Source organism: Homo sapiens, chromosome 4, assembly GCF_000001405.40.
Source record: "Homo sapiens chromosome 4, GRCh38.p14 Primary Assembly".
Taxonomy (NCBI): domain Eukaryota; kingdom Metazoa; phylum Chordata; class Mammalia; order Primates; family Hominidae; genus Homo; species Homo sapiens.
This window is the reverse complement of record NC_000004.12, coordinates 36262479-36275260: the sequence shown is the minus strand read 5'-3', so window position 1 is coordinate 36275260 and position 12782 is coordinate 36262479. Positions and strand designations below refer to the sequence as shown.

The following is a 12782-nucleotide window of genomic DNA, read 5'->3' as shown; positions in this document are numbered from 1 at the left end:
TGCCTCTGGGAAAAGACATGGGAAAGAACAAAGCAACTTCTGACTTCCAGGAGCTAGCCTGGCACTACCAGCAAAGCCTTGGGGTTGCTACCAGCTGTCCTGGTACTCACAGCTAGGTGTTAGTATTCTGTTGAACATTAAAAAAAAAATTAACATGACATCAGCACTATGATGGATCAAAACAAATTGAAAATCACTCTACAATCATGTCTAAACACATGAGCATTGTTCAAGCCACAAAATACGAAACATTCCCCTCTCTCAGCTAATACGAATGAGGACTGCTTCTTAACAATTGCATCTTTAGCATTACTCTAGTCTGCCCTCTCTAAGGATAAGACTTATCGAGATACCCAATCACAGATTATAACCACTTTTAGAGAGCATCCAATTCAGAGCGGGAAACTTCCGTCGAGTCACCCAACCAAAGCCCAAATCCTGTTATAAGTCCCTTTTAACATCCTTCACCTGAGACACCCCAGGATTCTCTGTGGTGTGAGTTTTCCCTCACTGAAATGGGTAGTGAGTCCTGCTTATTCAATTATAGGTGTGCTCCTGACGGCCTTATGCTGGAGGACAATGACAGATGCTCAGGTACTTGGGGAGGAAGAAGAGCAACCTGCAAGGATCTGTTGCTTTTCTTTCAAGTTGTTGTCATACTATATGATTTTTTTAAACTATGTGTATTATATTACTTTGATATAAACTAAATTCACATGTTAAAAATGAAATAAGCCAAATGTTGCATTCCCTAGGGATCATTTGATGGTGATATTAAGGTTGACACAGCGCATCACTTCAAGTGGGTTACTTCAGATCGGCTAACATACACTCCGTTGAGTTTGTAAGAAGTAATTCACCATTTGAAAATGCTTGGAATTTGGTGGCACATGCTCAAGAATGAACTCAAATTTAAAGCAACAAATGGGCTGGGCATGAACTTCAAACAGAGGTAGAGTAACTACCACCTGGTAATGGCTTAATATCTCATACTTCATCCCGATCACAGAGCTCTAGATACAGCAGAAGGTCAACAAATGTTTGATGATTAAGAAAATGTTGAAATGTAATAAACAATCCACACATTATTTTAAGAATATCATCATATCATTCCCCCACCTAGAAAATAATTAATAAAATTCCTTAATATCACAAAAATGTGGTCAGGTTCAAATTTCCAATTGTCTCTTAAAAGTCACAATTATTTTTACACAATTTTTAAGAATTAGGCTCCAAATAAGGTCCTAAAGGCAACTAACTCCCTTTTAATAATTCTCATATGAATTATGAAAACTGAAAAATGTATTTGAAAAAACATATACCAACAATGGAGAAATTTAATTATAGGCTGGAAAATTATCTTTCATTTTTGTCATTTTTATGTGGATGAGGAACAGACGTAAGGGAATTAATTCGAAAGAAGTCACCAAATTTGAAAAGTCAATAGACATATTTGCAGAGATATTTTCATTCCTTTGTGTTTAAGTAAATTCTTTACCATTCCATTAAAGTAGTTACTGATTTTGACATGTTTTGTTTTACATAGAAGTTTAGTATGAAAGTTCTTACTGGCAAGTTCTGCATTCACTATGTAAAGAAAATGGCTTGTTTTGGTGTCAAGAACTGAACTAGAACTGAAAAGTAATTACGAGTATTCAATTATTTGGTTAACAAAAGCGCCTTCTTAACACCATTAATGGCCTCTGAAATCAACATCAGTGTTTTCGATTACAGCTTTGCAACATGTCGCTGTGAGTCATTGTTGTGTTTGTAAAGATTATGACTCTTTATACAGTCATGGGCCTGTGACATGAAACCAGTGAAATAAATTTTCATGAAACCAATGAAATAAAAACCAGACAATTTTATCTTCTGTCAAAATCTTCTGAGACAAATGTTCAAATGAGGGTGTGCCAATGCATTGCTACAGTATACTTTATGGTATCATAGTATTTGGGATGTGTTTCTGTGCCATCTTCATTGCTTGACTTCTACCAGGATGTGAATAGTGATTTGAGAAGTAGTTCTGAAAAAGACAAAGAGGAAACACATGAATGAAAAAGAGTTTTTTAAAAAGAAGACAAAGAAAAGGTCTCATATGTGTTGACACTAACATATTCCTCCCAAATCACTTCCAGGTTCTCTGTTTTACTTCTGGACAATCATAACAAAATTCATCAATTAAACATGACTGTCCTATTCTACATCTTACCTCCATAAAAAGTCCCTTCTACATGCACTCCATGACATCTCTTAGAGACGTCATACACTCATCCCTTTGAATGTTGAATTGTCAGCAGAAATATCCCTCGCACTGTAAAAATAAATTTGCAAGAATCAAATTATTCAGCATAAACTCAACCCTCAACATCAAGAAAACTCTATCTTGAAGTAGGGAAATGATGCAAAAGAATGCCTAATTTGTTGCTTTTTAGAAATATTTGAGCTCTTCCAGCTAAATTTCTATGAGCTGAGAATACCTCAGGACCCCATAGTGTTCATCATTACTAAAAGGATGACATTGTATACAATGAGCCTCCAAGAATATTTGTTTCTCAGAAAAATGAATATATATATATTATAAATGGACAACATTAAGCTATTTAGGAGTATAACTATTTCCCCTCTTAGACTGTTGCTATCTTGACACATTTGACCTTATGCTATCAACTATCTTACATTATTTATATCCACTATAGGCATTAACCATGTCCAATATCAGAAGAGAAAATGTTATCAATCTTCTTTTTTACTTTACTTCCCCTCATCACTGTTCTTATCACCAGGTTCAGGGACATTCTAGAACCTCAGCAAGTGGCAATAGGTGGGAGGAACAGCCATGGCCGGCCCTAGGCTAGCATGTTTATTATGAAATTATCACCGACATCTCCTTTCTGGCCATGTTTCCCATCCATCTACCCCTTTCAGCGTATCTTCCAAGTTACCCTTTATCTCTTGCTGCCTTGTGTCATCTGTCAAAAATCACCCAAATAAACCCACTTGCATTAGAGTCTTGGCAGGTGTTGATTCTCCTCAGCAGCATTATTTGATTTTTTTTTTTGACACAGTCTCGCTGTGTCACCCAGGTTGGAGTGCAGTGGCACAATCTTGGCTCACTGCAACCTCTTCTTCTGGGGTTCAAGCGATTCTCATGCCTCAGCCACCAGAGTAGCTGGGACTACAGGGACACAACACCACCCATGGCTAATTTTGTAATTTTAGTAAAAAGGGGGTTTCGCCATGTTGGCCAGGCCAGTCTCAAACTCCTGGACTCAAATTATCCACCCACCTCGGCATCCCAAAATGCCAAGAGCCACCGTGCCAGGCCCTATTTGAATTTTTAAAGAATGAACCTGTAATAATAAAATCTGAAGCTTCTATGGGATGCCTTTCCAGGTGCATCTCAGCCTATGTGTTAGGTCTGTATGTGAAATGATATCATTAGAAGCATGTTGTTTTCAGCATTGTCAGAAATACATAACTACTAACTAGTTCATTTCTTAATTCAGAATTAGCTGTAACATTCCAAGGAAGCTGCATTTGATTTTTAAAAATTTATTTTACCTCCTTGTGATAAAAATGAGAGCAATGGTGAATTAATTTCTATCCTAGTGGAGAAGTCATTTTTGTTAGACAGAGTCTATCCAAGATTGTGCTACTGTTTAAAGATGTTATTGCAGTTACTGGCAGACCCAGATAACAGCTCCGATGTAATCCCAGATTCCCATATTGAATTAAATCTGATTTGGGTTATTTAGGTCACATATTGAAGAAATGCCCTCTCCGTGTCATTTCTCTGTAAATAGTGGGTGTCCTTTGGTTTTCTCTATAATATACATTTATTTTTGGAGCTCATTAAACAGGTTAGGTAACTTAAATAGGTCTAGTCAGTAGACAGGAGTTAAAGCTGAGGATAGAGAAACTCTCTGTGGTATTATCTAACACACAAGATGAGGGTTGTTCTTAATTCTTGGCTCTTACCTACAAAAGCACTGAGAGAGCCATTTGAAAATAAGGTCTTAAAATCAGATCCATATTTGAAATGGAAAAAAAAAGACATCACCTTTTATATTTGTGTTTCTTAGGAATATTAATTTTGTTTTAAAAGCAAAAACTTTAATAGACAGTGGATGTTATAAGAGCCATTTTGTCCAGGTGGGGGTGAGAGTAAGGAAATTCGAGCTTAAATAGTATAATACAATTTGTTTTCCCCATCTCTCTTCTCATAACTGCTTTTGTTGCAAATACATAGTTGCAATTGCTTCTTAATCTTAAATCAGTCTGTATTTTTGAAAGTCTAGAATAAACTGGGTGCTTAGGAGTTAATGATCTCATTATACTTCAGTAATGGTGCCATATGAATTCATGTGATTATACAGGATAGTACAATAAAGTCAGAACCTCTGGTGGGAAGTGGCTTCCTTGTGTCTTGAGGGACTTAATTCCTCAGTGTCTCAATTATGTCCTAAGAAGGACCGATGGTACTAGGAAATATATGCCAGAATGTTCAGTACTAGAGGACTTCTCTTATTTCAAATGTACAAGAGTAATAATATATTCACTCATGAGAGAAACTGGTGCCTCTGTTTGGGTTCTTTTAAAAATCACAATTTCATTCATTAAATTTTCAAAATGTTAAAGATAGCTTAGAATAGTAAAAAGGAGTAATTTCTAAAAAACTGATGATTACTAATTCAATATCTGGAAGTACAAGGAGCCCTTGGATTGTATTTTATGAAATAAGCTGTAAGATTTTAAGATATGGATTGTTAACATATTCAAAATAGTCTTATTAAAAAACTCTAGATTTTTTTTTAAAAAACAGACTTTCAAATATTTTACTGTACTTCACTTGGTCTCATTTCAGCAATAAGATCTAAACTTAATACCTGGAGAATAATCTCAACATTCTTAAGGACCCAGAAAGTGGAGTACTTCAAAGATAGCATGGGACATGCCATAAATTAAACAAACAACAACAACAAACGCAAGAAAATATCTTCAGTATGCTTTTTGAGAAGAGGTAATTCATACGAGGACTATTTATGAGTAAATCAGGGTGTTATGATGACTTTTTAATGAAAGTTGGAATTCTTATTCTGGTCCAAAGAGATAGCCATGTGTTTGAATGACCTTGAAGACTGTTATTTTGAACCATTACGTAATCCAGCAGCTGTGGCAATGCCCTTTTCTGAGATACACAAACAAAGAAGCAAAATAGAATAGACAAGTGAATTCTTGAGAAAGTTTGCACATCGCCATGTAGCTATGTGTGTAGAGTGTCAGCCTCCATACAATGTTAACTGTTTCCAAGTGATAGTGGTGATGCCCAACCTGCAGTTTAGCTGTGAGATTTGGGCCAGTAATTGATGTTACAGCCCATTTAGGGACGACTTTAATTAACATCACCTGTGAGCCATGAATAGCGCAAACAGCAAGTCAAGATCATCAACAGTCATCCACTGTAGGGAACCAAATGTATTACCAAATCTCTGCTGGCTAAAAATGAGGACTGCTGACCTGTATAACTACATATTACAGAGAATAAGAGCCCTAAAGTGAGTCATTTGTCCATCAGCCAATATAGATTGTGTTTATTGTATACTAAGCATTGTTCTAATCTTGGAGGTGGCTTAAATAGTTTTTCTCTCTGTGGATCTTAAACATCTAGCTGGAGTGACTAAACTTGCGTTTGATAAAGATCAAAGAAAACTAAAAATGTACATTCAAAAGAGCAAATTAGCAATGTATTAAACAAGATTTTTAAAGAATGCATGAAATAGACAAGAAAGCAATAGAGAGAAACACAACCAACAGATGTCAAATATCAAAAACTTGAGACATCCTCAAATGCAACTTCAAACTGTTGCATAGACCTCGATTTGTGGAAAGAACGGGGGAATCACAGATGAACCAATAGTGTAGCAGTCAGAAGAACTTCACAGTGAAACCAGCCCCAGTGATGTAGCCACAGCTGTGAAGCTGTTTCCCTCTGTCATCTTGTTATACCAAGCACATCTTGTTTCCATGGGGACAAGAATTCGGAAGCAGCCATATCTTGAACTTAAAAGAAAGAAAGAAGGGTCTTCTGGGTTATATACCAATTTATTATTAATGACGAGACATTCTTCTGCTCAGTCCTTGAATTTCTCATGCTGGTGGATTTAGTTTAATTTGGTTGATCCAGAGAAGACTTTGTGGATGTGAGTTTGAATGAAAATGTACAGTGTTTTTTTTTTTGTTTTTTTTTTTTTTTTTCTGGCCTACAATGTGTAAGCCATGAAAGAAACAGTTTTACTCCTGCCTGCTCCTTCTCTAGGTGTTCCTGGGATTTTTACCTCTGCTGTATATTACTTGCTAATGCAACTTTTCCCCTATGTTTACTCTCAAATGACTTTCTTGGATACAAAAAGGAGAAAACATAGTAGTATATATTATCAGATAATTACTTCTAGCCCCTTTCAGCCGAATCTTGAGATTGGAAGTTTGGATCCCTTACAAGTCTTCAGAAAAGTCTTTTATGCTGTGGCTGATTGCATTAACTACACAAGATACAGTTTCCTTTGAGGTTTTGAAAGATACATTTTTTGGAGAGCCTCAATACTGAGGTAAAATATAGCTTATAGCACTTCATAAGATCAGGCTGAAAGGACTTCTCACAAGTAGACAATTCTATTTCAATATTTTTGAAGAAAACAAGAGCAACCACCATAAACAGCTAAACAAAACACCAGAAATATAACAAATATCAGTGGCATCTAAGTATACATATAGAGTTATACACACATTCTATCATAAATTCCATGTCTTATGGAGAAATAAAATTCATCCATTTTGGTGAATGCTAATAACTCCCACTTTAGACACTAAGCTTATCAAGATAACATAAAAGCATGTTTATTTACCAGATGTTTGCTAAGCATCTACTATGTGCTTTCACATTTGTGTGCCTACTCTTCTAGGCACTGAGAAGAAAAGTTTCATTTCTCAGGCAGCTGAAATTAAAGTATGTATCTTACGTCATGTTTGTGTAGGTTAGCCTACATGGCACAGCTAGCTAGCTAACTATGTTAGTTGGACTTAAATAAACACATTTCTATTGCTATGTAATCTGCCCATATCATATAATTTTGTTTGGAGATCAAATTAATGCTACAGGTAAATAAATACTCAACCTGTTGCAGCATGCAAAGACTATCTGATATTTCACAACAAAGTTAATGCCAAGGTCCTTCAGATGGTATTGCTCTATCATGACTGCTAGAATGAAGTAATTGGTAACAGCTATGCTTGAAACAAAGCAAATTGCTGTATTTCTAAATAGTTACTGAGTCTATTCTTTGTTGTTGTCAAGCTTAGAATCTTTTTTGCACAATATATACCAAAACAGTATGTTTTTAAGCTGGTTATATAATAGTTTCACAGAGCTACTATAATGACTAAGAAATTGTAGATGCTTTTGTTTCATTTTTTCTCCCAAAATGAATTAGCTCTTTTGACTGGTTAAGGATCCATTTTCATGACGTCAGACCACTGAATGGAATTTTGAGTTCTTAGAACTTCAAAAGCTTCATTATCTGATGTAACATTCAAATCTAATTTGAAAGGAAATGCTTCATTACAGTCCATGTCCTCAGCATGTCTTTGTAAAGAGAAAAGAGTTAGGAAACTTCCTCTTGCATAGTCACCTCTTAATGTCATTCTTGAATGTGTTCTCCTATGATAATTAGATGTTTAAATATTGAAATAGAATAAGTTTAAATTCAGAAGAAATCATACAATTCCAGAGCTAAAAATGATCCCTTAGGTCTTCCTAGTCCAACCCTCATACTTTATGAATGGAGATACCGAGGGAAGAGCTAGCTGGCTCTCATGATACTACAGAACCAGATCTGTAACCAATCAGCTTCGTGTTCCAGTGCTGCTACCTGACACAGGTTAAACAAAAAGATCCATTCCTTTAAATAAAAAGCATGAGATGTAAATTCGCATGCTTGCTTGAATTGAAACTATTAAATTTTTCACAACTCCCTTCAGTATTCTTTCTTTTTTTGTTCTTTTTTTTAGAGATGAGGGTCTTGCTTTGTTGCCCTGGCTGGAGTGCAGTGACACAATCATACTTCACTGCTGCCTCAAATTCCTAGGCTCAAGTGATCTACCCGCCTCAGCCTCTTAAAATCCTGAGATTACATTCTTGAGCCACACCACCTGGCCTGTTTATTTCTAAAACTTCATCAGTGATTTTTAATCATGGTTTGGGCATAGTAAACATTGATATATACGTACATGTATAATTTATTTAAAATTTTATAGCCTACTTATTTCCATCCCCTCTAAAAAATCCAACTATTTAAGCTTACCTAAAATAAACTCACAAACAATATAAGTACTACTAATAAAGTTTTACAAATAAAAAATTATACAGGGAAAAGAGAAAAAGAATTACTAGGAAAGTGGAAACATCATTCTTAAGCATTGACCTTCACACTGAGTTTCCTGGCCATCAAGGCAATGGCAGAATAAAGTCTTAGTCCCATTTTTAGATGAAAGGAGGTATAAAACATTTCTGCCAGGGAGAGAAAAGGGGAGGTAGCTGGGAAAGGCTTGGTTTGAACTTGGTTGAAGAATAAAAAGAGGGAAGGAAGAAATGAAGGAAAGGGAAGGAAGGAAGGAAGGGAGGGAGGGAAGGAGGGAGGGAGGGAGGAATGAAGGAAGGAAATTTGAATGGGAGCATTTTAGATGGACCCTGCAGTTTTAAGGAGTGATCAACCTAGCCATCCGGGAGGTATCAGGTACTGAATTACAGATGATTTTAGCATCTAGATCTTTATGTAAAGGATTATTAATATAATGAACAAGGTCTCCAAAAGAGGCTTTGAAAAAGCATCAATATTTCTTTCTGGTTCTTATATTGAATCCAGTGAAAGCATTTGAAAATTAAACTGTCTTCCTGGGAACTAATTTTCTTTTAGGCAATAGAGTACTAACTTAGCATATTCTTGATCATCTCAATGGAAGCTGAAATAGAAGATAAAGCAATGGAAGAAAGGAAGATGAGCTTATCCTTTATAGTCTTATTCAAATATTAGATCAACTATGCTTTGGGCCAGAATAAGTGTCAGTCCATTCAATGTTGCATTATATACAGTGAGGTGAAGCGTATCTTCACCTACTCGGATTTCCTGGAACTTGGAAAACTTGCTATATTTTCTCAGATACTCTTTCAGAGATAACTTCACTCTAGACAAAAGACTAGTGGAAGTGAGTGAGAACATAGGCATGGAACAGGTAAATTTCCATGGATGTTCATCCGTGTGGTCTCAGGACAACTGGATTTTCCCATTCTAAGTACACTTTCCAGACATAGCCTGGCTTCTGTTAGGGAAGGAAGGGTATGTGAACTATGAGTGTAAACTCTATATAAAGAAACTCTTATCTTGAAACTCTATGTGGTGAAAAAAAAGGTCTAGAATTAGCACCCAGGCAGTTTTGTTGGTCTAATCAAATTATAGAGGTCAATTTTTCTAAATTAATTATTTGTTTATTAACTTTCCTTTTTTTCCCTCTTTGGTTCTAGACCTTATTTTCTTAGTGTGCTAACATTTTTCTTTCGCAGTTGTGTTCATCCATGTCATCCAAGAAGCAAATAGCTGTACCAGATTAAACATGTAAGAAATTTATTAAGGGAACTGCCAGAGAGAGAAAAGGGGTGGGAGCTGGGAAAGGCTTGGTCTGACCTTGGTTAAAAAAGAAAAACAGGAAAGGAAGGAATAAAGGAAAGAAGGAAGGAAGCAAGGAAGGAAGTTAATTTTGGTGGAATCATTTTAAATGGGTCCTGCAGCCCTGCGGTTTTAAGAAAAGATCAACATAGCCATCTGGGAGGTCTCAAGCCAAAAATCTCTACTCACAAAGGACTTCTGGGTTTCCCAGCAACACACCTGCCTTGGTGTCACTGCCACACCCAGACATTGGCTGAGAGCCAAGGAGAAACTGTGGTCCTAAAGCAACTGAGGCAATGAGTTCCAGAGCTTAGCAGCTAGAGGCATTGGTTAGTTACACTCTCAGCAGTCAGGGGTCCGAGATGCACATTCTCATGGGAGCCACAGCAATATGCATATTATTGCTTTAATGCACTTTGAGCAAGTTAATCATATTACTTCCCATTTTTGTCTATTTGTTTAATATAGAATAATTAAAATCATTTTTTGAATATTCAGTAGGTGACTTGTTAAAAGCTTTCCATGCATTATGTTATTTCATCTTCTCAAATACCCTGTTATGAGTCCCATTTTACAGATTACTTAGTTCATTTTCTTACACGAACAGGCTATGATACACTATTACATTATCTTGGTAAAACTAAGAACTACGTTTCCCAGAATCCCCTCACCTATATAGTCCCTTACCAATATAGAGTTAGTGAACAGAAAAGCTTGCAAAAGATTTGAAAATTGGAAGTGACACAGCAGACAATAGTCTGTGAAAGCTGTTTTGCAGTCTGAGGAGGTAATGGATAGATTAGTGGTGCTCAGTAGATTCCAGTGTGCCTTCTTTCTCTGCTCTGCTACTAGGTCTTCCTCCAGCCTACTGGCCCTAAAGATCAATGCTGGCCTCAAGACATACTTCCAGACATTTGGCTGTGGACCCCTAGAGTTGTAGAGTTGGTCTCTGCAGGGAGCACTTCCTATGGGCTCCCCTTTGTGGCTCAAATTTAGCAACTGAATATACTTGGCTTCTCAGATTAGCTCCTTGCTAATTTCTTTTCTGATCCTTTAACTCATCCTCCCACACCTTCTAGTTCCTTCCACCATTGTATAAAGTCTAATTCCTATAATGAGTCCTTTTTCCTAGAACACATAGGGACTTTCCTCCTCTGCCTGAAACTTGACTGATATAGCACAAGGGTAATAAACATGTGTTGAAGGAATAGGCAATTTAGGCCTAGCCCAGGGATTAAGATCTATGCAGTTTGGATTCAGAGTCCAATATCGTCTATTTTGGATTAAAGCAAGCAGAATTCATTTGTTTCAAATACCAAATGCGAGAATGAAATTTGACCAGAAGTTACCGAAATTAAAATACCTCACGTGCAATATGAAGTACCTCATTTGTAGTTTCTCAGTGTAATAATTCATCCTACTGTTTCACAATGTATGATATGTAGAGCCAAAATTTTGTCAAAAAATTAAAAGAGCATGAGCACCTACAAATGTACCTAGCTGAGCCTTGTGATTTTTGCATCCTGGAAAGCAGAGGATAAAAACAGGGATTATCAGTCAAGCTACTAATATTAAATAATTTCTCCTGTGTCTAAAATTGCCTGTAAAATGTATCTTCAAGATGCTCAATTAAGTTATTCAATATTATTATGTAATTTAAGCGATCCCATCCCACCCCTGCTCTACTTCAACCAGATCTGTATCAGTTTCATCTGTTTTATTTTATTTTCATTTCCTCTGACGATTTTATTTGAACAAAGTTGTCTTCTTTTTTCCTTTCCTTTTCTGTTCTTTTTTTCTTTTCTTTTTTTTTTTTTTTTTTTTTTGAGACAGAGTCTTGCTCTGTCACCCTGGTTGGAGTGCAGTGGCATTATCTCAGCTCACTGCAACTTCCACCTCCTGGGTTCAAGCAATTCTCCCACCTCAGCTTCCCGAGTAGCTGGAATTACAGGTGCCTGCCACCACTCCTGGCTAATTTTTGTATCTTTTTAAAAAAAGACAGGGTTTCACCATGTTGGACAGGCTGGTCTCGAACTCCTGACCTCAGATGATCCACCTGCCTCAGCCTCCCAAAGTGCTGGGATTACAGGCATGAGCCACTGGGCCCGGCTGAACAAAGGAGTCTTCTAATACAAAAATATTTTCAAAACCACTAGAATTGATTCTCCAGATGTGCTCAGATTTATCTATGTCCAAAAGTGAAAATATCTAAGTTTCAAGCTGAGACCATCACTACAAATATAAAATATACTCATGTAGCCCATAACGCTTAGGATTCTGTATAAAAATTTCTGTATTAAAATTCTGCCTAAAAATCCAAGTTTTTATAACATTTAGAAAAGAATACATCTTCTATTTGTTAAAGAGTATCACTGTGTTTGCATGATCTCCTAAGAAACAGAAACCTACACATTTTGAAATGGTATTGCTGGGTCCAGTGAACTTGTTAATTACATTCGGTGCTTCTTGAAGGCTGCAGAATGCAGGAGAATGCTCATCAGTTAAAAATATTACAAATCAGGACTTCTGGATTTTACAAAACAGGAGAAAATTCAGAAACATTGACCTTCAGACATTCTAAGACATTGTACTTTGTATTAATAAGCATTAGTAAGTAAATGAAAGTTACTAATGTAAGAAGTAAATGAAAATTACATACGAAGGGATTTAAAAGCTCTCTAGTACTAAACAAGAGAGCTGTAGTTATTTACAGTGCTCCTCCCAAAGTGAATGCATGGAAAAATATTTGACAAGGTAAAAAAATAAAAGAAAGAGAGATGAAAATACAGAAAATGACATTAGAACTCTATATAAGTCGAAGCCATATAAAGGGGCTCTTTTTAATTGACTCATTTTTCTTAAAGTGGTAAATTCCCTGTAAGTTAGTGTTTATTAGTTAAAGTAAGCAAAATGTGGGAAAACATTAGTCTTCAACATTGAGCCATTTGCTTTTAGTATTACAATATTTGCAATAATTTTTTTTGTTGTTCCGTAGTTGTTTTTGTATATGTATCTTCAAAAGAAAATGACTTTTAATGGAAATGTCTATAAAATGTTTTTGAT

At 36.1% G+C, this 12782-nt stretch overlaps 1 long non-coding RNA gene across 2 annotated transcripts in view; it reads right to left on the bottom strand.

Moving 5' to 3' along the window:
• Positions 1–1045: 1045 nt before the first annotated feature.
• LOC439933 (uncharacterized) overlaps positions 1046–12782 on the bottom strand; it is a 30100-nt gene continuing 18363 nt past the window's right edge. The window contains exons 4-5 of one of the 2 annotated variants that reach the window (NR_122079.1): positions 2213–2314; positions 1046–2026 (exon numbers count right to left, since the gene is read on the bottom strand). This is a non-coding gene — a long non-coding RNA (uncharacterized LOC439933). The remainder of the gene's footprint in view (positions 2027–2212; positions 2315–12782) is intronic. The other variant, NR_122080.1, reaches the window with a different exon arrangement.